General features: G+C 38.0%; 1 protein-coding gene across 23 annotated transcripts in view, besides 2 other annotated features; it reads left to right on the top strand.

Moving 5' to 3' along the window:
- EPB41L2 (erythrocyte membrane protein band 4.1 like 2) overlaps positions 1 to 27,050 on the top strand; it is a 223,899-nt gene that overhangs the window by 122,738 nt on the left and 74,111 nt on the right. For all 23 annotated transcript variants that reach the window (NR_146620.2, NM_001135554.2, NM_001350314.2 and 20 more), the window contains one exon: positions 13,799 to 13,903. Coding sequence is in view for 21 of the 23 variants with exons in the window: in NM_001135554.2 (NP_001129026.1) it covers positions 13,799 to 13,903 (105 nt within the window). In the remaining 2 variants the exon portion in view is untranslated. The remainder of the gene's footprint in view (positions 1 to 13,798; positions 13,904 to 27,050) is intronic.
- Positions 8,851 to 9,020: an enhancer, noted in NCBI's record as "experimental_89750 CRE fragment used in MPRA reporter constructs". NCBI's record gives its function as "activates a minimal promoter by MPRAs in K562 erythroleukemia cells, with activity observed for both the introgressed and non-introgressed 6:131252713 variant alleles {active_cell/tissue: K562}" and the evidence as "EXISTENCE:reporter gene assay evidence [ECO:0000049][PMID:34662402]".
- Positions 11,005 to 11,299: a silencer, noted in NCBI's record as "tiled region #6396; HepG2 Repressive non-DNase unmatched - State 15:Elon". NCBI's record gives its function as "represses a minimal TATA promoter and a strong SV40 promoter by Sharpr-MPRA in HepG2 cells {active_cell/tissue: HepG2}" and the evidence as "EXISTENCE:reporter gene assay evidence [ECO:0000049][PMID:27701403]".

The raw sequence follows: 27,050 nt of genomic DNA, 5'->3' as shown, positions 1-27,050 counted from the left end.
GGCGACAGAGTGAGACTCCATCTCCCAAAAGAAAAAAAAAAAAGATATATTTAGGAAAAACTCAGCTATACCCTAACCTAACCTATTACATTTTTCATTTTAAAACTGCTTAAATAGTAGCATCCAAGCAAAAATTGGGGGTTACAAGAAAGAAAAGGTTTTAATATATCCTTGCGTATCAAGGATGACATAAAAAAAATGTACCAGAAACATTTGTTCAGGGCAAACCACTTTCCTGGCTTTACAGGGCTAGTGTTGCCATTTTTGATCCAGGCTTTCTTTGGCTTGGCATTAACTAGGAATCTTCATCTTGCAAAGCCAGTGTATTTATTGGGGTTTAAATAAATTAAGCTCTTTGCTTCTGCTAAATCTATGGAGAAGTGGATTCCCACCCATGGGAAAGAAAGCATAAAATACAAATGCACTGATCCTACCTCCTATCCTTTTTCAGTCTGCTTATCCTAATTTTGCTTTTCCCAGGTTCCTTGCATTGGGGGAAGAATCACGTGTGCATATGTACACAGTAACATGTACACTCTGCATTGTCTTAGAACAGATTTTGTAGGGAACAGAGCTAAGTGTGCATGTTCATTCTACCATCTTTAATTGGAAGTCTATTTTCTACTTAATAAAAGTTGAACGATGAGCATGTTTTGTCACATACTAAAATAAAGTGGACTCTTCCCCTGAATATAGCACATGTCAAAGTTACCATTAGGCTCTCTGGATATCTTCTAAAAAGACTTTTGATTGTGGTAGCTTTAGTAGCATCTGTTTTGACATAGTTCATTGTTTTCTTGCAGATGCTTTTCATTAGTTTTCATTTTGTTGCTTTAGTATTCCCTGCTGGTGTCTAGATAATCCGTTTTATTTTGCATGTGTGTTTAATTGGGGGGTGGGTCCTAGGAGATGAAAGAGGATAGAAATGCTTTTCTCCTTAAAATATGTTATTTGGGGCCGGGCGCGGTGTCTTACATCTGTAATCCTAGCACTTTGGGAGGCCGAGGTGGGCGGATCACGAGGTCAGGAGTTTGAGACCAGCCTGGCCAACATGGAGAAACCACATCTCTACTAAAGATACAAAAAATTAGCCGGGCTTGGTGGCACACGCCTGTAATCCCAGCTACTTGGGAGGCTGAGGCAGGAGAATTGCTTGAACCCGACAGGCGGAGGTTGTAGTGAGCGGTGATCACACCACTGCACTCCAGCCTGGGTGATAGAGTGAGACTCAGCCTCAAAAAAAAAAAAAAGTTATTTGGGTTTTTGGCAAATAGGTGCAATTCATTTGTTATTCACTTGGTTTGGGTCACTATTTATTATATATAGTTTTGTGGCTTTATTCATTAAACATTTCTGGACCAAGCATTGGTGATATCATGAGGGATTTTTAGTCTCCTCTGCCCCTGGTTGGAGCCTGTGCAGTAAAGGGGAAAGATTTCATTCCTGTGTTCATGGTTGGGTTTCACACTGATTTACTTTTCTATTTCTTGGTGCTTTTCGCCGTTAGACTTTCTTGTTACTAGTTCCATGATGATATCCAGGTGTTCCTTTATAGTATTATAATACAAAAAATGTTCTAAGCTTCCTGCCTACTTTTTCTTCCTCTGGAAACAAAATCCCTACTTTTTCAAATCTAGCAGATAAGCAGCTAAGTAACAGAGGATCAGCAGTTTGAGTGAATGACTTTAGTGTGTGAATTACCTGTACTGCCTTCTAAGAGATCTCTGTATTTTAAAAGAAGATACCTGTTTACTCTAAAGAATCTAGTGGTCGAATTCTAGTGGTAGAATTTCACTATTGAAGCCAAGAGAAGTAAAAAAATAAAGGCATTTTGGGGTGGGAGGAGGCTAGAGGGCTGGATTTTTGGCATCTTTGGATCAGGTGGGCACACTACCAGTAGTACAGCCTTTTTGAAAGGCACGGTTCAGGGCCATGTTCACCCAAAGCTGCTTAACTTTCCTGCTTCTGAATTCTAGGTTCTTTCTGATGCCTCAGAGTTTCCTCCTTACATAGTTGTAGCATTTTTTGTGTATGTGTGTTTTAAATCAAGCAAGACCTTAAAGATTCACCCAGCCAGGTCCCCCTCCCTCCACACTCCAGTGGTGAACAAAGACCTTGTTGTCACTTTGTCTTTTATTTTACTTTGTTAGTCATCCACCAGGAATGAAAAACTTTTACTTGGAAAAAATGTCAAATTGAATAGAAACACTGTTGCCCCAAGTAGATCAATGTTTAAAAACTGAGATATCTCAAAATGAAGTGGATTTTTCCCTAGATTGCCTAGAAGTTGCTTGTCATCAAATTCAAGAATCAGAAATTCAGGTGGTGAAGTATATGGCAACTACTGTTGTTAGGAAACTCATCGAGACCTCTCCTTTTGTGTCACGTCCTATCTCCCTCTGCTTTACAACCATAATAAAGTAAGCGTTTAAGTGATATAAGATTATTCTGCATTGTAACTTGTCTTCTACTTTGGTTAGTTTTTAAAAGAATAAGCACTCCTGGCTAATAGAGGTAAGAACAGTTTCAATGGGTCTGGCTTGTGATAAGATGTAGGATCTCCAGTCGTCTTGTGTTTTTCCACCTGATGATTTCTTTCACAAAGGTAGACTCAAATATAGTTGTCATTGAAGATTGTCAGATAAATCTTATTTTAGCAGGCTGTGTTAATCTTTTTTTTTTTTTTCTTTTTGAGATGGAGTCTCACTCTGTCACCCAGGCCGGAGGGCAGTGGCACGATCTTGGCTCACTGCAACTTTTGCTGTCCTGGTTCAAGCAATTCTGCCTCAGCCTCCCGAGTAGCTGGGATTACAGCCACCTGCCACTGCAACTGGCAATTTTTTGTAGTTTCTGTAGAGACATGGTTTCACCATCTTGGCCAGGCTGGTCTTGAACTCCTGACCTCACGGTCCACCTGCTTCGGCCTCCCAAAGTGCTGGGATTACAGGCATGAGCCACCGCGCCCAGCCAATCATTTTTTTTTTAAAGCATTTTAAGTGAATAATTGAGCATTTGATTTATTATCCTGGCTTTTCTATCTGGGTCTTTGAAAGGGACAAAAGGAGCACATATACACCATGGGATGTAGCCTGGCCAGATTGAAAACTGAAAATTGATGGATTTGGAGTATGCAGGCAGATAGTTGAATGCTGGGACAGGGATCCTCTTTGCTGACTGCCTCATGGTTAAGCTTTTAAAAATTTGTTGGTTAAGCTTTTAAAAAAATTTTAGGGTTTTTAGGGCAATGAAGTTACTCTGTATGATGCTATAATACATCGTGGATACGTGTCATTGTACATTTGTCCAAACACATAGAATGCAGGACACCAAGAGTGAACCCTGACATAAACTGTGGACTTTGGGTGATAACGACATGTCAGTGGAGGTTCACCAGTTGTAACAAATGTACCCACTGTGTGGGATGTTGGTAATTATCCCAATGGGGGAGGTTATGCATGTGTGAAAGCAGGGAATATATGGAAAACTTCTGTACCTTATGCGCAATTTTGCTGCGAACCTAAAACTGGTCTAAATAAAAAGTTACAGATGCCCAGGTTCTTCTTTTGTAGATTCTAATTCAGCGGGTCTGATGCCGGCTGGAGCATTTGTGCAGCCAGAGTTAAGAACTGCTTTGAGAGGCCTCACGTTAAGACTGTAGGAGGTCTTACTAAGTGCATGTTTGGGTTCCTTTACTTCACAGCTGTTTGCTAACTAATCGATAGCTGAATTTGGTTATGATTTGTTTTGAGCAATGCCTAGGACATAGTAAGGGCTTGATAAATATTAACTCTAATTGTTATTATATTTTAAAATCCTGATTATATATTTTTCTCAGGATTTTACCAGCTTTCTTAAATTTCTGATGAAAATACTTAAGTCGTATGCCTTGGATAAATTTCTAGTATTCTTGTATTTTATCACTATTTGGCTTAGAAGGGCCTTAATGTAAACGTATGCCACTTATATATTTGCAATGTCTTTGTAATTTAAATAACTTGGTTAGACTGAAAAATTAAACCCTATTTAGTACTTTTACAAGTAAGAAAAACCCCACAAGATTTAAAAATAGTATATTTTATCTTGTAATTTTGAATAAACCAATCCCTAGTGTCCAAGGACTTACCCTTCTGTTGGAGGGTCAGAAGAGAGACATTGGCTATAACCAGTTGTGTTACAAAAATGTAGAATGTCAAAGGTGAACTTATTTCCCACTGAAATAAACTCTAAGAGTAGAAATATTTGTTTTTTGCAGATAAGAAGTTGCAAATTTAGCAGGCTATTTAGCAGCTGTTTACTTAGAGCAAATGAAGATTTAGATAATTCTTCCTCATAAGCTAGAATACTATTCCATTAAACTTTTATTACCAAAGGAAGGCATTTATGGAATGCCTGCAGGGCTGTATTTTATGAATGGCTGAGCAACTGACATACTAGAACTGACAGAGGTGTTTATTGTCTTGTTTAAGCAAAAAAACTTTTTTTGTATAAAATTTGTGGGTATTTACATGTCATCAAATATGGTTTTCTTAGCAAGCTTTAAGATCCATTGCTCTGGGGGCTTTTTTGAGGTTTTCTGCATCTTCATTCCAGAGGTTGGCTTTGGGTTTGTTGTGGAGCTAGAATGTAAATGTGAGGAGTGGGAATTGGTTCCTGGAATAGCCTTCTGCATACCTGTTTGGAGATAGAAGTCCTCCAAGTGGGCACACCCTAGTCTACTAGCTGATTCTTGTGTCTTGAAAACTATTGAAAATTTCTGGGCTGCAGGAGATAAAAACTACAACTGCCTAAGAAATAAATTCGTGTGTAGTTATGAATGAGATATTAAAAGGTTGATATTGTTTAAAACTAAAAATTAGCATTTATTTTCTTTTTAAAAAAAGGGGCCATATCATAGACTTCAACTGTTATTGACAGTGGGTTTTTTTGTGTTAATAATGTTGGTAGCAGGATTTCAGATTTTTTTGGTGCCATTTTCCACATAGCATAAAAATGAAATATATTTTTGCATCTTGTTTAAGCTTACCGAGTTGCTTATGAGATTAATTATATGCTCAGTTAAGAATTCTGAAATATTTCAAAACCCAGCAGACTGGGGTGGAAGAACATTCCATTGAATACTGCTCTTAGACTTGATGGGCTTGGAAGCATCGTGCTCATGAAATAAGGGCCTTACTTATATAACAAGTAAGAAGGGCAAGTAAGGAGTCAAAGTATCTATGTGATTTTATTAAAGGTGAACCTGTGTGCTTATAGCTTTACTAGGATTTCCTTTTAAATGATTGCAGGTTACAGTTACTGGAGGGTATCTTTGCAGTCTGTTCTAGTCTAGTGTGTGTTTTTCTAAGCAGCAGCTTTTTAATTTTAATTTTTAGCAACTGAAACTACATTGAATGGTATTTTGTGTCATTCCTGTCAACAACACTGCAAAATTCCCCCAATATTCTGTCATAATCCTTTGAATCCTGTGGAATGGAAAAGATGTGGCAATCCTTAATGAACTGTGAGAAGTTTTCCTTTCTCCCTCCCTTCCTTTTTTTGGTTTATTCTCTAAGGAATAGTATACAAGAAAAATATGTTGTAAGAATCCAACATGTTTACGTAAATCTCTTATCTATCTTAACTGTTTACTTGTATACGTATATACAAAGTTTTCCTGATTAATGAAAATTAAGTTTGAAAAAAATTTTTCAGTTACAAAAAAAAAAAAAAAAGAAAACAAAAAGAAAGGGACGGGTGCTGTGGCTCACACCTGTAATGCCAGCACTTTGGGAGGCCAAGGTGGGAGAATTGCTTGAGCCCAGAGGTTTTAGAGACCAGCCTGGGTAAGATGATGAAACCCCATCTGCCTCTACCAAAACATTTTAAAAATTAGCCAGGCATGGTGGCATGCACCTGTAGTCTCAGATACTCAGGAGGCTGAGGCAGGAAGATCGTTTGAGCCTAGAAGTTTGAGGCTGCAGTGAGCCAGGATTGTGCCACTTCACTCCAGGCTCAGCAACAGAGCAAGACCCCATCTCTTAGAAAAGAGAAATATGTATTTATGTATATGTCTTCTATATTTATGTATCTACATGCATATGTTTGTATATTATATATAATATGTATCTTTTTTGAGTATTTGGAAAAAACGTTTTCAAACTTAATTCTTACTAATGATCAGGGAAGCTTTTCTTAAGAATCTTCCTTTACTATATCAATGTCTCATTTACTACTGGAATTATGTTTTTAACACACACACAAAATTGACCAGGGTTTCTTTTTCCTGGGGTTTGAATGAACTTTGGGAAAGAGATGTGTTGACAGCTCCCTTAGATTGGTAAGAAAATAATTATCTGATAAATCACAGCCTTGGATTTGAGACACTCTCTCTTCTTCCGTATGGTTTTATTGGATTCCCATCCTCCTCCCCCAACAATGTATCAGTTGTTGTGTTTGCTCTGTGCATACCTTTCTTTCCTTGGCCTTTTATATTTGCATAGTGTTGTTTGGAGCTAGTGCAAAATACATAGCTTCAGGGCTGTAATGTATAGATTGCATTGTGCGCTTCCCATCATCGTCTCCTCAGCACACAATAACTGCAGTGTGGAGGGCCCTACACGGAGACAGTGATGGTGTTTATAAAACGCCAGTGGTGTGTGGCATTCACTACAATCTGCCGGGTAAGCAGTTGCACAAATTCCTCCAAGTTGAGAGGCCTCCAGAAATGTCATGTTTTGGCCTCAGTGTTGAATGCCACAAATAACAGCACAGGCATGGGGGACTTTGCTCAGCCTCTCAGATTCCAGCCTGCCTTCCTTGGGCTGCATCTGCAGTAGATTTCATTTACTCTTTTTCTTTTTAAATGAAAGTTCCCAAAAGCTAGCATTCTAATTTTTGAATAATGTATTTTGAGCCCATCCAAATTGTCTTGTTTTGTCTCTCTTTTGTGGGTATCTATAATATATAGGTTTTTAAAAAAACTAAAACTCTGATACCTGGAAAGTAGACCAAAGGGCTTTTTTTGTTTATTGTTTTAAAGTTTTCAACCCGTTAACTTTATATTGCTAGTGAGTGGTATAAGTAGGGTTAGGGAGAGGCAGACAGACGAAAAATAGATAGCTAAGCTTGTTGATATTTAATATAGAAAGTTATATTCAAAATATTTCTTTTTGAAGTGTATTTGGCAAGTTTTATTAACAGTTGCATGGTTTTTATTGTTTAATAAACTTGATATCATATTATTAGAATAGAGATTGACTCGGATTGTACTTTATGAAGATTCTACTGTAAGAACAGAAACAAAGCAAAGGCATGCTTCAGATAGCAAGAAGAAATGACAGCGAAAGTGATGTCTTAGTGGAGGAATGTGCAAGACTAGGAAACCCCCTGTCCTTTCTGCATAAAGATGAGGTATGGCCTACTCTTAAGAGGAAGGGGCAGATTGGCTTTTTCCCTCTAGTTCCCAAAATGTATTTGGAAATGCCCTAGTTTACTAAGGAAGAGTATAAGCATAATGTAGAATTGTGAAAATGAAGTGTTGGTCTGTGCTGGTCTTCTCCCAGAAACTAGTTGGCAGTGTGTGTTTGGTTTAGGTCCTTGAACATTATGGGTTGGTAGTCCATCAGCTAGGTAAGGAAGATTGTGTAAGAAACCAGCAGGCCTGAATTCTAGACTCAACTCTGCCAACTTTTTGACTGGCCTTATGGCATTGAGCCGTTCCATCAGCAGCTATCTTTTGGCCTACTAGTCAGCTAATTACTCAGTAGGAGGCATTGAAGTAAGATGTCCTCTTTCTTAAAGAACTCAGTATCTGAAAGTAATAAGTATCAAAAGGAGTAGAATAGAAGAATAAGTGCCATAGATGTGAATAATGCTCTTGAAGGAGAATGATGCAATATTGAGAGATTGGAACAGGCTTCATAGGGAAGGATATTTTGGAGATTTGTATACAAGTAGAGGTAGTTTTGACACTTGTAAATAAATCAGAGGAAAAAAATTAGAATATGTCTTGATAAGTCAGTAAGTGGTTCTCTTTATCTGGGGCAATACCCCAAAATTGCTGTGACAACTAATGAAGCAACTACGTGTACTGGTATCTTAGGTGAAAGTTATGAAGCAAAATTATGTGTATATTTTGCTTGGTTAACAAATGTATATTTGTAGTCCTTTTTATACAGTAGAATTCAAGTTGTTGATTTTTTTTTTTTTAAAAGCAATGTTAATGGAAGAAAATTACTTTCCTGGATAGAAGTGTGGAATATTAGTGTATATTAAGAGCATACATAATAATTTAATTATTTTAAAAGAAATTCAGAAATCAGACTGAAAAATTAGATAAACTTTCTATAACCTTATTTTTCTTATTTGTGAAATAAGAAAGTTTGATTAGATAATGGAAAACTTTAAAATCATATTTAAAATCAATTATTATTTTAGAGCAGCTCAAAAAGGTCTTGTAATTTCAGCTGGCTTTAATGAATCCATGTAATAAGCCAAACATTTTATTGATCACTTTAAACATACTTCATTTAATTATCTCATCACCATTATAAGGTGGGTACTTTTAAAGAGCGGAACTGAGGCATAGAGAAGTTACGTAACTTACTGTGGTTACAGAGCTGTTAAGAGTAGGGCTGGGGGTCAAGCCCAGGACACTGTGATTATACTGCAGTACTTTTCTTCCGTATTGTTAAGAATTGGTGATTCTCAAGAAAGATGGAACATACCAGAATCTCGGGGGAAAGGAAGAACTATTTTGAGGAACAATTTCAACTTACATGCCCCTGTACATTTTTATGTGCTACCATTATGCATTGTGCCTTGGTTCTTCACCCCCACCCCAAAGAGAATTATTATTTATGGAATGTGTTGTGAACAGTGTGAAGACAAAGTTGTGAGCCACTAGATGGTGTTGCTGTCTGAGCCGACCCAATCGAGTTTGATTGAACATTAGTGCTATAAATGTTATAACTTGGAACATTCATATGTAGCATTTAATATGTGTCACCTGATAATCTGATGCTTTTTAGAATATAAGAAGAAATGTACTACTTATTTTGTTTGCCTTTTTGAATAAGCCTCCAAAGCACATCTGTTTTAGGTTTCTTAGGAGTGACTTTTCTGTGTTTTTTTGTTACAATTTTCCTTCTCAGTCCTTCTTTTTATTCCCTAGCTTATGTTTCATTCCCTCTTGTCTTGATGACTTTATTATAGCTATTTAAAAAAATAATGCGTGTTAGAACCTTTTATATGTTGAGTATAAATAATAAATTAGTAGAATAAAATCATTGTAGATTAATAAATTTTATTAATTTTGCTAGGGATTCATTGAGCTTTCTTAATTTGAAGTTTTATAGCGTTGTTTCTTTTAATATTGCCTTTCCCTTATTCTCTCTCATCTCCATCTAGGACTCTGATGAGATATTTGTAGACCCCTCATTCTGTTCTCCATGTCTGTGAAGTTCTTTCATATTGTCCTTCCCTTTGTCTTTCTCAGCCACATTCTGGATAGTTTTTTTCAGATCTATCTTCCAGTTCACTGGTTTTCTCTTCAGCTTTGTCATATCCTGTCCATTTGGATTATAATTTAGTTACTATAGTTTTCATTTCTAGGTGTTTTATTTGATTATTTTCAAAACCTGCTTTTTCATATTCACTTTTTCCTTAGTCATATTTTAAAATATTTCTTATAAACACATAAAACATATATATTTTGTGTTTTGTTCTTGATAATTCTACTATGTGCAGTCTCTGAAGATCTGATTCTGATACTGTGTCTCTCAATAATGGTGTCTGGTTTCCTTGTCGTTTTGTGATTTTTAATGTATGTTTTTTGAGATTTTTGTCTATGAGAATTTCTTGCTTCTCCCAGGCAGCTGGGCATATCTAATCTTGGACCAGTTTAAACTGGATTATCTTTTGGCATTTTTGAATCAAACAGATGTGAATACCAGTGTCTACATCTGCGTTAGAGTCAGATGGTGGTACAGGTTGAGTATCTTTTATCTGAAATGCTTGGGACCAGAAATATTTTGTATTTCAAGTTTTTTCAGATTTTGTAATACTTGAGCACTCCAAATCAAGAAATTGGAAATCCGAAATGCTCCAATGAGCATTTTCTTTGAGCATAATGTTGGCGTTAAAAAACTTTTGGATTTTGGAGCATTTCATATTTTGGGTTTTTGGATTTGGGATGCTCAACCTGTAATTCTTTCCTACCTCATTTAGTGAGGTGTGGTCTTTAAAACAAAAATTCTGTTGTAGAATACATTAGTAAATGTTGTATTAAAAAATAGTGGGCTCTTTTGCTAAATAGTTTTGGGAAACATCAGGTTTCCCAAGTGAAAGGAATAATGGGAAACAGGGTTTTTGCATTGCAGGACTCCTCAGGGTGTCTGTTATACAAATAGGTGTTTTGGTGCTCAGTAATCATATGCAACAAGGAGAATTTTTCTTGTCTCACTCTGCTGCTCTTTTTGGGAATGAGTGGTGTATATAACTCATGGGATGAGTGGGACCAGTGGAAAATAACTTTGGCAAATATAGGTTGGCCTCGTGATACCTTTGGCTTCTGCTAATTGCCTTCTCGCTGTCTTTCCTACTGTTTATACCACTTTATGACTGTGCGTGTATGTGTGTGTGTGTGTGTGTGTGTGTGTGTGTGTGTGTGTGACTGTCTGTCTTGTATTTAATCTCCCTGAGGGAAGTCGTGATTCTATCTGCTATTCCTCATCCCCAGAGCAAAAGATTGTTGTTGTGCAGAGCTCTTGTATCAGGCTATCTTGTAGGCTACTGGTCACTTTTCTTTGAGCCAATTGGGCCAGGTACCTAATTATGTCCAAATTGGTAGATACATAATGCTTTATTTTTGGCTTCCCATTCATTCTCTTTCTCTGCCAGTTGCATATAAATTTCCTGAGACCATGTTTGTCGTGCTCATCATTGATTCCCTGGTATCTTAACATAGGAACTGACACATATGGGTCAATAAAGATTGAGTGCTAGCTTGGCAAGTCCTCACAGTCATCTGAGAGTCGGACAGGGTAACCAGCAGTCATATCGCATGGCTTGTTTATTCTGGATGGCTTCCTTTTTTCATTTTACTGTATCCTCCAGTATCTTTTGAACAGAAATTCACTCAGTCTCTATAAACATCCGAAGTAAAAAGTAAGCTCTATAAACATCCAAAGTAAAAAGTAAGTTATTTTGAATATCTGTTTTCTCTACCTCAAAAAATCATTTCCTCCTCTAAGATTCCCTTCAGATATCATATTCTTGGCGCAGCTGTGATTTCTGTTAGTCACATTTACTCATTCCATTCCTGGTGTTCTGATAGCACTTTGTACATCGCTCTCTCAACATGTGCTTCATGTGTTGTTGCATTTTTGCTTTTCCTTCCAGATTTTGAGTTCGTTGAGGGTGGAGAGGCAGATGGAAGCTTAAGTAATGTGTATGTGCAATCAGGATCTCATCAAGCATTGAGAATATCTGTTCCCTGGAGAGAGAAGGAAAGAATAGTAGAGAAGCAGCTTTAGCATCTAGAAACATTTTGGTGTTTGTTAGATGTGGACTAGTGAAGGAATAGTTGACAGTAGAGTACTGCTATGGTTGGTTGAGGCATATTCCATCTCACTGGGTTAATTTTATTCTCACGTGAGCTCTGAGGTAGCTATTACCCTCATTTTACAGACAGGGAGACTTAAGTGGTTTTACTTTGTCACACTGGTGCGGTGCAGTAATAGTAAATGCTTACAAAATGTTGAATGATAGAGGAACTAGGTCCGATAGAGGAACTGGTCCAGCCATCATGCTGATACCTCATGTACTGCCAAATTGTAGTGGTGAGCTGTGTGGATGTTTTTTCCTCTTAATCTTGTAAGGAAATTCTGCCCATGAGGGCATGTTCCTATTTTTGAAATGGAAACCAATGAGAACATGTGAATTATTAGTAAGAGTTGACTTGAAGCTAGTGTTGGAATTGGAACGTGTTTTCTCCTTGAACTGAGGTGTATTTTTGTAGACATCAGTTGTCTTAAATATCCTTTTTACCCTAATTTCAAATAGCATCATAACCAATTGTTATGTACTGCAACTCTTTTAGTACTCACCGCACCTCCTGTGGTATCTGCTATCTGTTATCCCCATTTCACAGATGAGCAGATTAAGGCAAGCAGACGTTAAGTGTCTTGCCATGGGTCACATAGCTTGTAAGTAGTGGAAGTGTATTTAGAACTTTGGTGTTTGACATACAGAGCCCAATACTCTTATTCTCTATGCTGTATTTGTATATACTTTTAATATGTAGACAAACAAGCACATATCTATCTTAAACATGCTCAGTAATTTAATTGACTATTAAATCCTCATTGCAAACCTGTAATATGTATGTGACACATTGTTTTATTTTTAAATTTTTTATTATTTATGTATTTATTTATTGAGACAGGGTCTCACTGTCACCCAGCCTGGATTGCAGTGGCGTGAACACAGCTCACTGCAGCCTCAGCCTCCCAGGCTTAAGCAATCCTTCCACCCCAGCCTCCGGAGTAGCTGAGACTACAAGCACACGCCACCACACCTGGCTAACGTTTGTATTTTTTGTAGAGATGAGGTTTCACCATGTTGCCCAGGCTGATCTTGAACTCCTGAGCTCAAGAGATATGCCTGCCTCAGCCTCCCAAAGTGCTGGGATTACAGGCGTGAGCTACCATGCCAGGCCTTACACTGCTTATTATGTTGAAATAATGTTATCTGTGTGGCATTCTCCTTCTTCCCTTTACAATTTGATGCAATTCTATTCTTTTCAGAAATGTTACCATAAGAGGCTTAATAATAAAAATACCAGATTCTCCTCCTCAAGATACATGTGTGGGGAACATTAATTTTCACACACTGGATGAGCTAGTACACATTTTGATAGTGAGAGGGCATTCGTTTTGAGGATGGAAAAGTCTGATGGCTTTTTCTTTTTCACTAGCAGTGCATTGGTGGCTTTTATCAGTGCACCTGGGGAGGAGGCGTGTGTCTGACCTGACCTCACAGTTGGGTTGTTCCAGGGGTGTGCATCTTAATTGGAGATGAGTCACCACTCTGCTTATGTTTTGCCATTGAAGAGACAATGAGCTTTTCTTCTATGGCTGTCAAAGGCTCTTACATCTCTGTTCACAGCAGCTTCTTAAATTTATATATATATATTCAAGGTAAAAATATGTTAAGTCCTTAGGGGCAGTTGATTTCTTGTCCCACTTCCATTATCTTGTATTTTTAGAATTTATCCCAAGGAGCGAACACCATATCATTTTCTAGGAAATTGTAAATAGGAGCATAGCTCATATAGAAAATAAAATTCTATTCTACAGATATCATGGAACAAAAAATCAAACATGAAACCAAAGTGTTGATAGGATAAATTATGTTAGGATCTACTGAATAATAGGGCTAAATGATTTTCCTGGGGAGTAGTGTACTTTATAGATATGAGCCACCTTGAGGAATTGATGGAAGCAGTTTGAACATTTTTGAAATAAGAAAATGAACAGCTAACATTTCGCCTTTTTCGTCCTTTTTATGTCTATATTGAGTAGCAGTAAAGCAGACGGTGCTTGCTTATGCTTTTGTTTCAGATTTTATGCTTTGTATATGTGTGCAGGGTGGGAGGGCTAAAGTTAAAAAATTAATCACTTTTATATTGTTAGAAAATGAGAAAACAAATATTTAATGTTAATTTATAATAAATCATGTATCTGATATGATGTCTTAAATTTATAGCAGTCTTGGAATCTTTAGTACTTGAAAAGTAAAGTTATTATTTTTTCTCCAGAAACATGCCAAGGGACAAGTGTTATTTGACAAAGTGTGTGAACACCTCAATCTCTTGGAGAAAGACTACTTTGGACTTTTGTTTCAGGAAAGCCCTGAGCAGAAAGTAAGTGATTTCAAGTTTATTTTTATCTTTTTAGAACATATTGTATTTTTTTATTAACCAGTTTATCTCAGTTTAAAATTTAGCTTTAAAATAACTTAGGTGTTTATTATGACTTCACTGTGAAATTTGGTAAATACTGAAAAACTATCTTGTGTAGAGAGAAACCACCTGTAGCTTTTTGGTGTATGTGTATTTGTGTGTGTGCATGCATATGTGTACATGCTTTGCACTTACATCATGAGCAGACAGAATAGAATGTCATCAGTGGAAAAGTGATGTTCTGGCATAAAGAGAACACAGAATAAATGGTATTATTTTAATCACTTTTGGCTCTCAATCACTCAGTCTGGCCTTTCGGTACTAAATAAGTAAAGAAGCTGGTCACATCTGCTCATATTGTGCAGTCACCTGTATGCTAGGTATTAAAGCATACCTGAAAGGCAGGGAAGGCGGCACATTGGAACGATTCTGTCTGAGGATACCAAGAACACTTGGTCACAGTGAAAGGGATTACTCTCCATGATCTAACATTCAAATCACAGTCAGCAGAACAGAGCAATCAATAGAAGAACAGAAGTGTGAATTTTATTTGCCTACATTGCTATCGTTGTTAGTATTTACATGTCCTACTAATGAAATATAAGATAATAAGAGTGATAATTATATATACTTTAAGTTTTCTCAACTTGCTTAGCTTTAAATACTTGATATCTAATTTGTGGTTTAATTCTTTGTTTAGACTAAAGACAGTTAAATTACATGCCTGCCTGCTGAATACTACATGAGTATTCTTAATAGAACTCTGTTTAGAGTACTGTTTTCAGACGTAATAGCACATTTGACTGAATAAACTAGGTTTTTTAGACTGTAAATTATAAGGTGGTCTTGATAATGTTTCCAATTATGTGCTCTTCTGTTTGTCCTAAAAGCTGCAAAAGAGAAAGTGGTGGGAATTTGGCTAGGATTACCTCCTTTTTTTGAGATCACATACTGGTAGATTCATAGGAGCATATAATATAATCTTTGTAAAGTAGAGGGACAATTCAGTATGTTGTACAATATGTAGAATAACATGTTCTCTTAGTAGGCATAGGATATACTACATTAAGAAATCTGGGCTAAGCGTGGTGGTTCATGCCTGTAATCCCAGCACTTTGGGAGGCCGAGGCGGGCGGATCACTTGAGGTCAGGAGTTCAAGACCAGCCTGGCCAACATGGTGAAACCCCGTCTTTACTAAAAATACAAAAATTAGCCGGGCATGGTGGTGGGCACCTGTAATCTCAGCTACTCGGGAGGCTGAGGCAGGAGAATCACTTGAACCCAGGAGGCAAAGGTTGCAGTGAGCCAAGATCACGCCACTGCACTCCAGCCTGGATGACAGAGTGAGACTCTGTCTCAAAAAAAAAAAAAAAAGAAAAGAAATCTGATATTTTTGAAATACTAGTTTTGCATAAGAAAAGGTAGTATTTAGTAGTATTTATTTAGATAGTAGGATATACTGTTTTTTTATTTTGACAACTCTCAATTTATGTCAATTCAGCTTTCACTGAATCTCAGACTCATATTCTTAATTGCCTACTGGATGTAGGAGTTGGCAATTCCCTCTGTCTGTCATCTACACATTTAGTACACACCTTGTTTGTTACTCTTTCTCCCCATTATTCTATGAATTCCTCGAGGGTAGAGGCCATGACTTACTTATCTGTATAGCCTCCGTATATGTAGACATTAACTGCTATTTATTACGTGTGTGTTATATCACACCTATAAGGATCTCCACTCTCATGAAAATAGAAAATAGCAAGTGTTGGCAAGGATGTGGAGAGACTGGAGATGCTGTGTACTATGGGTAGGAAGGTAAACTGATACAACCACTCTGGAAAACAGTGTGGAAGTTCCACAGAAAATTAAAAATAGAACTAGTGGCCGGGCATGGTGGCTCACACCTGTAATCCCAGCACTTTGGGAGGCTGAGGCGGGCAGATCATGAGGTCAGGAGCTCGAGATCAGCCTGGCCAACATGGTGAAACCCCGTCTCTACTATTAAAAATACAAAAATTAGTCGGGCATGGTGGCATGCGCCTGTAGTCCCAGCTACTTGGGATGCTGAGGCAGGAGAATCGTTTGAACCCGGGAGGTAGAGGTTGCAGTGAGCCGAGATTGTGGCATTGCACTCCAGCCTGGGCAACAAGAGCGAAACTGCATCTCAAAAAAAAAAAGAACTCCATGATCTAGCAGTCCCACTTCTGAGTATATATACAAAATAATTGAAAGCAAGGTCTTGAAGAGATATTTGTTTACCCATGTTTATTGCAGCATTATTCATAACAGCCAAGAGATGAAAGCAACATAAATGTCCATTAATGGGTGAATAAAGAAAATGTGGTGTATACATACAATGGAATATGTATGTACATATCAATACCTACTCAGCCTTGAGAAAGAAGGAAATCCTGTCACATGTTGTATCATGGATTAACCTAGAGGACACCATGTTAAGTGAGTTAAAGCAGTCACTAAAAGACAAGCACTATAGGATTCCACTTATATGAGGTATCTAAAGTAGTCAGACTCATAGAAACAAAGAGTAGAATGGTGGTTGCTAGGGGCTGGGGGAGGGGGAGTTGAGGAATTGTTTAATGGGTAGTGTTTCAGTTTTGCAAGATGTAAAAGTTCTAGAGCTCTGTTGGACAATGAGAATGTAGTTTACATTACTCAACTGTATATTAATAAATGGTTAAAATGGCAAATTTTATGTTATGTGTTTTTTACTACAATTAAAAATAATCCCACTACCTGTGTACAAACCAGCGTGCTCGCTGCTGAGGCTCTAACCGTAAACGGTGAGGACGTGACTCTGCCCTCAGAGATGCCCCTGCTTATGTTTTAGTTGAGAAGGCAGAGTGGAAAAGCTAATTCTGCAGTTAGTGAATTTTGATTACTACTCTGCAGGAAAAAGTCAGGATGCTAACAGGAGGACTCTGCTTAGGAGGAAGTGATCCTTAAGCAGAAACCTCATGTGTGAGTGGACTTTGGCTGGGTGATGGGACATGGGAAGCACATACACGAGGCCCTGAGACTGGAGCAGCTGTCTGCTTAAAAACTGGAAAGAAGCCTGGTGTGGGTTAGTAAGGGGAGAATGAGATTAGGCTAGGGGAAAGACTGGGTGTTAACAAGGCTCAGATCATGCAGGGCCACTTAAGGCTATATGTTAAGGCTTGGGACATTTCCTTTTTGCTAAGAAAAATGGCAAACCATTGATAGGCTGAAGCAAGGATATGAGATGACCAGTTTTGTCTTTAAAAAGGTCACTTTGGTTGATGGGTGGCATGGGATGAGAGGGGACTTGAGTAGGGCTGTACACCCAAAGCACAAAAGTAGCCTTGAGTAAGGTTTTGGCAGTGGAAGTAGAAAAGCGAATGATTGAAGAGAGAATGAGGAAGGAGGCTGACTCAATCTGATGAATGATTGAACATGAAGGATGACAGATACCAAGAATTAAGGCCTGGGTTTCTGGATGGTTGGAGTTGTTCAGTAAGAAGGGTAGGAGGACTCGACTGGGGGGTTGGTAGGGGATATCATGAGTGTAGTTTCTGACATATTGAGTTTTAGGTTCAATAACTTACGGAAAGAGCAAGTAAATAAATGAATTTAGTTTTGGAGGTGTCTTAAAGAATGACAGCTTGCATGGAACAAATACTCCACTCTAGGTATAATCTGTCTTAGCAGTGCAGGGTGCATGGGGTAGCTTTATTTCCTGATGTGAATATCATATTCATATGGAGGCTTGTAACCAGGAGTACTTCTTTGTAACTTACTTGTTTTTAAAAAAATCAGAGGTGGCTTTTACCTTGCAAATATTCCAAATAAAATATAAATGGCTGTTAACAGCTGATCATTCTGGTATTCTCACTAGGCAGCAGGCACCTTCCCTGTGTTGTCTCATGTAGTTCTCAGAATAACCCTAAAAGGTAGGTACTATTAACTACACTTATAGATGCAGAAATTTGAGGCATAGAGGAAGTTAAAGAAGTCACCCAAGGTCACCTAGCCAATAAATGTTGGTGATAAGATTCAAATTCAGGCAAAAAACTGAGAAGGAAAAAATACATTTTAGATTTTAAGGAAAATGCCAACAGTTGTAAACCTTCTGTCAGTCAAGGTAAAAATGGGCACAGTTTTTCATAGCTATCACAACTGGAAGTAGAAGAATACCATGTTGCCTCAGAGGAATTTTTCATGTTCTCAAATTCTGAAAGTCACCTTGCAAGACTTTAAACATAGTGTGTTGAAGGACATTGTAAGCTGAGTTCCTAGGATGAGTTTCACAGTTGTCATTTCTATTATATTGTCAACAAATTTAAGGGCATGAGCTAACTTATTGATGGTGATTCTGTGATGGTCTGTGCCAGTGCTGCTCAAAAGAGACTTCTTCCTTTGTGTTAGAATCACCTGGGAGACAGATTTTCAATTAGGAATCTTATTTATCTCTCTTCTTCCTCCATTGTTCGTAAACACACGTGCGTGCGTGTGCGCATATGCACACACACATAGAAATGCACATTCATTGGGTATGCCATGATTCCTTCCTTTCCAGTTAAAAAATAGTGCCATTACTGTTTAATTTACATATAGGATGTTGAAGGATGTTATGGGCTGTGCTTCCAGCAGGGATATGTCCTATTCCTCAGATATGTTGGGACAGAAAACAGATTAACCTTTGGTCAGGTTGATATTTTCAAGTATATAGCTTTCCAGTAATCTAATTCAGTGATAGAGCTTAATATACCCTGTCCTAAATACCAGCTGGACATTTATTAGGGACTAGATAGGAGAGACACTTGCAAGTTTTACTACCTGACAAGGGCCTGTGGTATGAATATTTTATATTGGTATATTAAAGCAGATCTATAAATTTTGGAAATCATATGAGCAGTTTAGTGTTGACATTCTATTATAGCTATTGAGAATTACGGCCAGTATTCTGGATGTGGGCAGGGAAGGGACATTTTGCACAGAAGAAAAGTAATCGTTCCAGCATGAATGATCATGATGTGGGTGCGGAGTTTAAAGTTTGTCCGGAGGGCTGGAGGATGTGGCAGTTCCAGCCTCTCTTAATAGGAAAGACCTGTGAGGGGTAGGCAAGCTGGCAGGGGGAGGTAGGGACTCGTGTTTTCTCATGAGCACACTGTTTTAACTTAGATCATGGGTTAATTTGGGATGACTTTGTGGGGAGTGCTAATGGAGTTTATGGGAAAGCAGCTGGAAAAATAAGCAAATATCATTCTTTGGATCTTGTATCTCATGCTGAGGAATCTAGATTTTAAGTAGGAAGTAACGTGGTCAGATTTGCATATCAGAAAGAACCTGTTGATGGTGTGGAGCGAGATGATAGGGGACTGAGACCAGAGGCAGGAAGGTCAGGAGACAGTTGCGGTAGTCTAGTCTAGAGGTGATGAAAACCAGGGCAGTGGTACTAGGAGTGAAGAGGAAAGGACAGAGATTCTGTGTAGGTAATGTCTGCAGTCACTTTGTGACTGCCACCTGTTAGCTATGACAGCGAGGGGAGAGTTGAGGAAAAGTCCTAGGTTTCAGGGTTGGGTAGCTGGGGAGCTTGATGGAGACTTTTACACAGGGACCTTGGAGGAAGAGCAGCAGTTTGAGGTATGCTAGGGAGCGGAGATGGAACTTAATTTTTATTTTGCCAAGTTGGACACGTTTGTAAGCTGTTGGCTAGATTGGGGATCAGGGAGTAGGTGAAGGATGAAGAAATTTAAAAGTAAAGAATTTGAGAGGCCAGGTATGGTGGCTCATACCTGTAATCCCAGCACTTTAAGAGGCCCAGGCGGGAGGATCAGTTGAGCCCTGGAATTTGAGACCAGCCTGGGCAACATAGTGAGACTCTGTCTCTAGAAAAAAATTAAAAAATTAGCCAGGCATAGTGGCATATACCTTTAGTTCCAGCTATTCGGAGGAGGGGAGAGGGGTGCTGAGGTGGGAGGATCACTTGAGCCCAGTAGGTCAAGGCAGCAATGAGCTGTGATTGCACCACTGCACTTTCGCCTAGGTGACAGAGCAAGACCTTGCCTAAAAAGAAGAAAGAAAAAAAGAGAAATTTGACAGTGAGTGTAAATTGTTGTTTAAAGAAGTGTTTGGCTGTGGAGAAAAGAACAGATGGGAGAATGATACTAGAGGATGTAAACCTGCAATGTCCAGTACAAGTTTTCATGATGATGAAATGTTTGATACCTACACTGTCCAGCATGGCAGCCATTAGCTGCATATGGCTATTGATCACTTGAAAGAGTGCTAGTGTGTACGAGGAAATAGACTTAAATTTTATTTACTGTAAGTAATTTAAATTGAAATAGCCTCGTGTGACCAGTGGCTATCATATTGCACAGTGGTGACAGTTGACTGAGAGTTTTGGGGTTGGCAGATTTACTTTGATGGAAATAACTTTGACTTTAGCTATGAGAAAACCCAAGAGAAGTTATGTTTGAAGAAAGAGGAGAGTGACTATGATGATGAAAGTCATGAAGAGGATTAGTCTTGAATAAAGATGTTATGTCATCCTGAGTCTGCAAGAAACAGAATAAAAGGTGGTGCAGTTGTTAAAAAAAAAAATCTTAGTTGAGCAAATTGTAGTCTCCAATCTCTGTGAAATAGAGGGTAAAAGCATTTGCTTAAGAGTGACTAGGGTAGCAGTGGGACAAGAGAAGGAGCCAACCAAGAATTAGTATGTGGATTGCTGTTAATAGTTCTGCTGAGATTGTGGGGGTCATACATTTGGGATGGCAGCAGAATATATTTGTGTGTGTTTTTCTCTAATTGCCATTAGCAACCTTAGTGTCATAGCTGAAAAAATGGAGTATTAGCAGGGTTCTCAGTTGACTATGTTCATGGAGGCAATAGTAAGAGGATGCAGGATTGTGAAATCTGAAGTTGCTGATGAGATGTAATTAAGCTGATTATTCACAGGGTCACAGGAAAGAAAATTACTGAAGCTGTAATAGGCTGATACATTGGGAGAACGTGGCTGGGGCAAAGGATGAATGTTCAAAGATGTTGAAGAGTAGGTACAGTGGTACAGTGGGGATACATGGGTAGAAAATTAGAGGGAGAGGAAATGATTGCATCTGAGAATGAGCTGATGAAGTCTAATGAGGTGAAGAACTATGTGATGATGACAAGACCCAGGGTGTGGCTGTGAAAGGGGATGGCTGAAGTCAAGGAGACAGATTAAGGTCATTAAGGAAGAAAATACTAAGATAAAGGTACATTTGTTTGGGTCTACTGTAGCGTTCTTATTGACAGAAAGACACTAATGCTAAATAAGGAATTCATAATTCCTTATTATACGTGGTAGTTTCTCTTATGAAAGGTAAGATGAACATATAAAATTAGACACATGCTTTGTATATAGACTTTAACTCAAAAACTTTGGGAACTTAAGAATGAGGTGTCCTTTCTGAGACATTCACTTTTCAGGTGTGAATATTTAAATACAATTAGCAATATCTTTAATTATTCATATATAATCTGATTTGCTATAACTTTTATGTTGTGTAATTTTTAAAAATTTCTATCTGCTTATGTAGACAAAATCCAGTCCTCAAGACATCTAGGCAAAACAACTCTTATTCTTCCACTATAGATTTGTATGGTATCCTATTTTTTCCCCCACATAAATTTATTACTATTATACTAACTCAGCTCAATCAGTCCTGCTTTGTTTAAATCCCATGCAGTTTTAACAACAGAATATAATGATGTAAGGATCTTTCCTTTCCATGCCGAATATTATCTGTACTTATGGGAAATTTTGATTCTTAATTCAACCCATTATAAAGTAAAGGTGAGTGAAAACCACGATTATTTGTATACAAATTTTTCATGGAGAGAAAATCTACACATTTGTTTGGTTTTAATACAGTACTATATCTCTCATGGTTGAGACACTGAGGTGAAAGTCTTTTTAGTTCATTCTAGGTATGAAAAATCTGTCATTGTTAGTGTTAAAGCTTTTTTAATGTCTATTGAGAGTGCTTATATAAACTTTACTATGGAAAATGTTGTTAAAAATACGTGGAATCAGGCAACATGTTATTCAATATGGAATTCCAAGTCCATATAGTTCTTGTATTCATGTCTAAATGAAACCATCGTTAAGGGTTTTGGACTCTCTTTAAAGGGAAAAATATTGTCTTGAATTTTTGATGTTAATAGTTTGGCATTTGGCCCAAAATGACATTATAACGTCATTTTGCTGCAAGCTATATTGAAAAAGGAGCTTGTTAGAAATGTAGTTGATATTCACGGCTAACTTTATGAAAATTAGTTGAAGCAGTCATCTAATAGACCATTTTGTTCCAGAAACTAGAACTAAAAACTCAAATATTAAACTGTTTGCATATATAAACTATTCTTTAATAAAGTTCTACATTCAATCTAGTTAAACTTTATAATCCCACATTCTCCCAGATGTGTAGTGAATGTTTCACTGTGATACAGTGCCTGTAACTTTTCTCCTAACACCAGCATTATGGTAGAGTTCTCTTAAACCCAATTTAGGCAAAGGTATATTAAAGGGGATCTGTTTCAGCACTATAAATTCCTGTGAGAAAATGCAGATTCTAGACAAAACTACTTTTAACATTTAGTCATACACTGTGAATTGGGTTGAATTTGTTAATTTCTCTTACCTGGCCAAATTAGAGATCACCTAAAGCAAGTGAGGAAGGCATGGCGAGGCATTTGAGAAACTTCGAACTCTGGGGTCTTAGGGTCTAACTTAAAGGAGAATTAAATGAATGAGATAGATTTTTTTGGGGGGAAAGGAACTGTTAAAGAAAAACTTATTCTAACACTTGTTAAAATGGTAAGGCAGACTTTATTCAGGACTGTTGTAATAGGTATAAGGACCTTTGCAGTGGGGTTTTGCAGTAGGCAAGAGAGATTGGGCTCAGCTCCAGATACGACAAGGAGAAGTGGAAATTTATAGTCAAGGAGCAGGGTGGGGGTTAGTAGATGGGAAACTAATAAGAGGAAACATCAGGGGTGCACTTAGGGGAATTCTGGTTAAACCAAGCTAACAGGATTCTTGTTGAAGGCAGGTGAGGGTGATCTGATATCACTTGGGGGATGGTGGAGGATGAGGAACCCCATCAGATATCAAGGGTAATTAGTTATCAAGGATGGGGGTTTCCCACTAAACCAACTTATTAACAGGATTCTTGCTAAAGTTGGATGGTGTGTAGATGGACACAGAAGTCTAAAACCTGAAGCCTAATTGGGAAGAGGATTCAGAGGAGCCTGACTAAAGTTTGGTCAAGAAAAGACTCTTTGTCTTAACTAGAAGATGGATTTTATGACTGTATTTTGGGTTGTTATCCAGGTCAAGCATGGTTAGGACCCTGCTGTGGACAACTGCACACCCAGACTACTAATGCCAGTTGATGACTGTGGTTGCATATCTCTTCTCAGGTGAAAGTGGTTAGCAAGTAGAATAAAAAGACCTGGAATTCTTTGGTACAGCTGCTTATTGTGATGGGGAGGAGTTCAAAGGAACACTTAGATATGGGAATGTGGAAACTGTGCCCTGCCAGGGCTTTCTGCAGGAAGCTGTCAAAAATTAGAAGGTTTACTCAGTGAAGGCTGACAAGCCAGTAGGACTTGAAAAATGTCTCTCTATATTGAGCTTTCAGGAAAAGAAAGAAATTTCTACATAAAAAGAACTCTAGGGCTATCCTACTCAAAGAGTGGTCCAAGGACCAGCAGCGTTGGCTCCACGCAGAAGCTTCTTAGAAATGAAGAACTCTAGCGCTCACCCTAGACCTGCTGAAATAGACTTTATTTTGGCTAGATGTTCAGGTGATTCATACGCACCTTTAAAGTTTGAGAAGCATTGATGTAGGGATAAACTGTTCTTTTGATGTAGCAGAGAGCATTACAGGAGTTTGAAATGTCATGAAAGCCACGGGAGGAGGGGAGTCCTAGTGGGCCCATGTGGTTCATGGTCCCAGAAGTGTTCAAATATTCGTAGCCACTGAGGCAAGAGTTAGGCCGTTCCCCAAATATGGACATTTGGACCATTATTCTGAGGTTCTTTCTAACACTGGTATTCTATGAATATAAATACAGTATTAGGATTCATAATTAAGCTTTTTTTTTCCCCCTAGATGTTTCTGTCACTAGAGCATAATTGAGAATCATGTTTAACACTTTTTCTGGGAACCCGTAATGAAAATGTTGTAGGGGAAATGTCATAAGACAAGACTTTCATCCTCAGATTTGTGGCAAATAAAGAGTAAGATTAAGGAGATTCTCTAATTAACTAATAGAAAGATTTTAGTGTAAAATACATATAAGTACAGCTATTCACTGTGCTGCTTAGTTTAAAAAAAATTCTGTAACCTTTTAAGGCAGGAAAAAAAAATCCCACCTCTTTTTGTGCCTTGAATTCCTTTGGCAGTCTGCTGAATTCTATAGGCTGCTTCTCAGAACAGTGTTTTCAATGTATAACTATAATAAAAGTACACAGGGCTACAAAGAAAGCCAATAACTAAATAACATTCCCAAAATAGTAATCTAAAATTGGAGACAAAGTAATAGGTATGTATATTAGTCTGTTTTCATACTGCTGATAAAGACATACCTGAGGCTGGGCAATTTACAAAAGAAAGAGGTTTACAATTCCACATGGCTGGGGAGGCCTCACAATCATGGCAGAAGGCAAGGAGGAGCAAGTCACATCTTACATGGATGGTGGCAGGCAGAGAGAGAGAGCTTGTGCAGAGAAACTCCCGTTTTTAAAACTATTAGATCTCGTGAGACCCATTCACTATCATGAGACAGCATGAAGATCTGCCCCCATGATTCACTCATCTCCCACCAGGCCCCTCCCACAACAAGTCAGAATCATGGGAGCTACAAGATGAGATTTGGGTAGGGACTCAGAGCCAAACCATATCATTATGTGTTTTTATTTATATATTAATCATCAGTATCAAATCTAGTAGCTACTGTGACTTCAAAATATTGGCTAGCATAAATGGTATTTTAAGATCTGCAGCTACTACAATGTGATGTGGAAATGTTTTTGATTTCTGCAGGTGACAAAGAGGTTCTGCTGATATTAACCAGGTTTTTTTCTGCTATGTTCCTAATTGACAGTGATGCTAAGTTTCAGTTAGAAGTTAGTAAAAATAAAGATGGAACATATTTCCCCAAACTTGAGTTCATTACCTCCCAATTTCATGTTTGAAGGTGATTTAACAATACTTGATATTCTTTTTTTTTGAGACGGAGTCTCGCTCTGTCGCCCAGGCTGGAGTGCAGTGGCGGGATCTCGGCTCACTGCAAGCTCCGCCTCCCGGGTTCACGCCATTCTCCTGCCTCAGCCTCCCAAGTAGCTGGGACTACAGGCGCCCGCCACTACGCCCGGCTAATTTTTTGTATTTTTAGTAGAGACGGGGTTTCACCGTTTTAGCCGGGATGGTCTCGATCTCCTGACCTCGTGATCCGCCCGCCTCGGCCTCCCAAAGTGCTGGGATTACAGGCGTGAGCCACCGCGCCCGGCCGGTGATTTAACAATACTTGATATTCTAAGGCCACATTTTAATTTTATTTTACTTCTGTTGGAAGCCTGTTTTAGGATTCCTTATAACTTTTATTATTAGTCTCTTATTTTACCTGATGTTCATTTAGGAGATAAATATTTACTGTGTTCATGTTTTGGGTTTGGATTAGGGAATGGAGAGGAGAAAGTAAGGAGAATACTGAATTGAGTAAGTGACTGTTCCTGCTCTTAAGTAGTTGGCAAAATCCTTGTTTTATTTTTTTTAATAAAACAAGATAAATTTTATTGAAATCTGATATAGGTCAGCTCTCGAGTTTTGCATGGTTGCTTATACCTTAATGTTTGGGAAACACTGAGAAGATCCCTGTCTTGCCTGATCTTGAATTGCCTGAAGCTGTCACTTTCCTGAGTTCCTTCCCTGGAGAATGTTTTAGGATGTTCTGGGCAGTTGTCCATGGACAAAGAGCTGTCTTTTAAAAAATTTGCCGGGTGGATTTTTACCATCGGCCAAACTGGATAATACTTTAACATGTACATAGAAGCTCTTAGACTAGTCATATAGAAAGGGCTTGGTTTTCATGTCATCTCGCCTGTGAATACAGTGACCCTATTTTGTGAACCGAAAGTCTGATTTATTAACTTTTTGTGGGTAGAAATATTCATATAGAGATTAAATTCTTTAATGTATATAACACATCACCTATGGATATATAAAATTATGTGAAGAAGATATATATACCAAAAGATGATAATTTAGTTTTATTATTGCAAATAGTGATCTACTAATGATGATCTGCTGGGGAAGGTACTTGTATGCATATTTATTCTTCAGGCTTGAATATTGTTTGAAAAGAACTACCCTATGAGGTAGATGTTGTGATCCCCATTTTGTGTTTGAGGAAATTGAGGCTTAAAGAAGCCAAGGAATGTGCCCAAGTTAGAGTTGATAGAAAACCAGAATTTTACTGCGTGTATTTCTGATTCCACGGTTTATATATGTGGCCACAGCAGACAAATCTTTAAGTCTAAAACCTGGCAATGAATACTGTAGTGTATCATGGGGTGAGGGCGGTTGTTGTATGTTGTGCACACACACCCTCATGCATTTTTCTCATTCTCTGATGGCATTTTCCATCTTTTTGTGTCTGCTTCTTGGTCTGCTCAACCCTCCTCCTTAAGTGTCAAACCAAGAAATTAATTTTTATTATTTACTGTATTTATTTAAAAGTTTTGTTTGTTATTTCTTTGTAACTGGTAATGCAGATCATTAACTTGTATTTCTTTTAAGTCATTTAAGTCATTTTTTTTTTACTTAGGAATTTATGATGCTATACCCCACTTACCATCTAAGTACTCATTAGAGATATGTATTCAAGTAAAAATAAATGTAATAAAAGTAATATAACGTGATCATTTAAGATGATCACAGCGTGGAGAGGAAGGAGGCAAGCAAGGGGCATATATCAGTCAGCAGGTATTAATTTAGTTCTCACTGGTTGCCTAAAACTGTATTAAGTACCCTGGAAGATATAAATAATATGGTCTGTTCCAGCCCTTGCAAAGTT

Source organism: Homo sapiens, chromosome 6 (genome assembly GCF_000001405.40).
Source record: "Homo sapiens chromosome 6, GRCh38.p14 Primary Assembly".
Lineage (NCBI taxonomy): Eukaryota > Metazoa > Chordata > Mammalia > Primates > Hominidae > Homo > Homo sapiens.
Note: the sequence above shows the minus strand (reverse complement) of the source record. Positions and strands in the feature narration are given on the sequence as shown.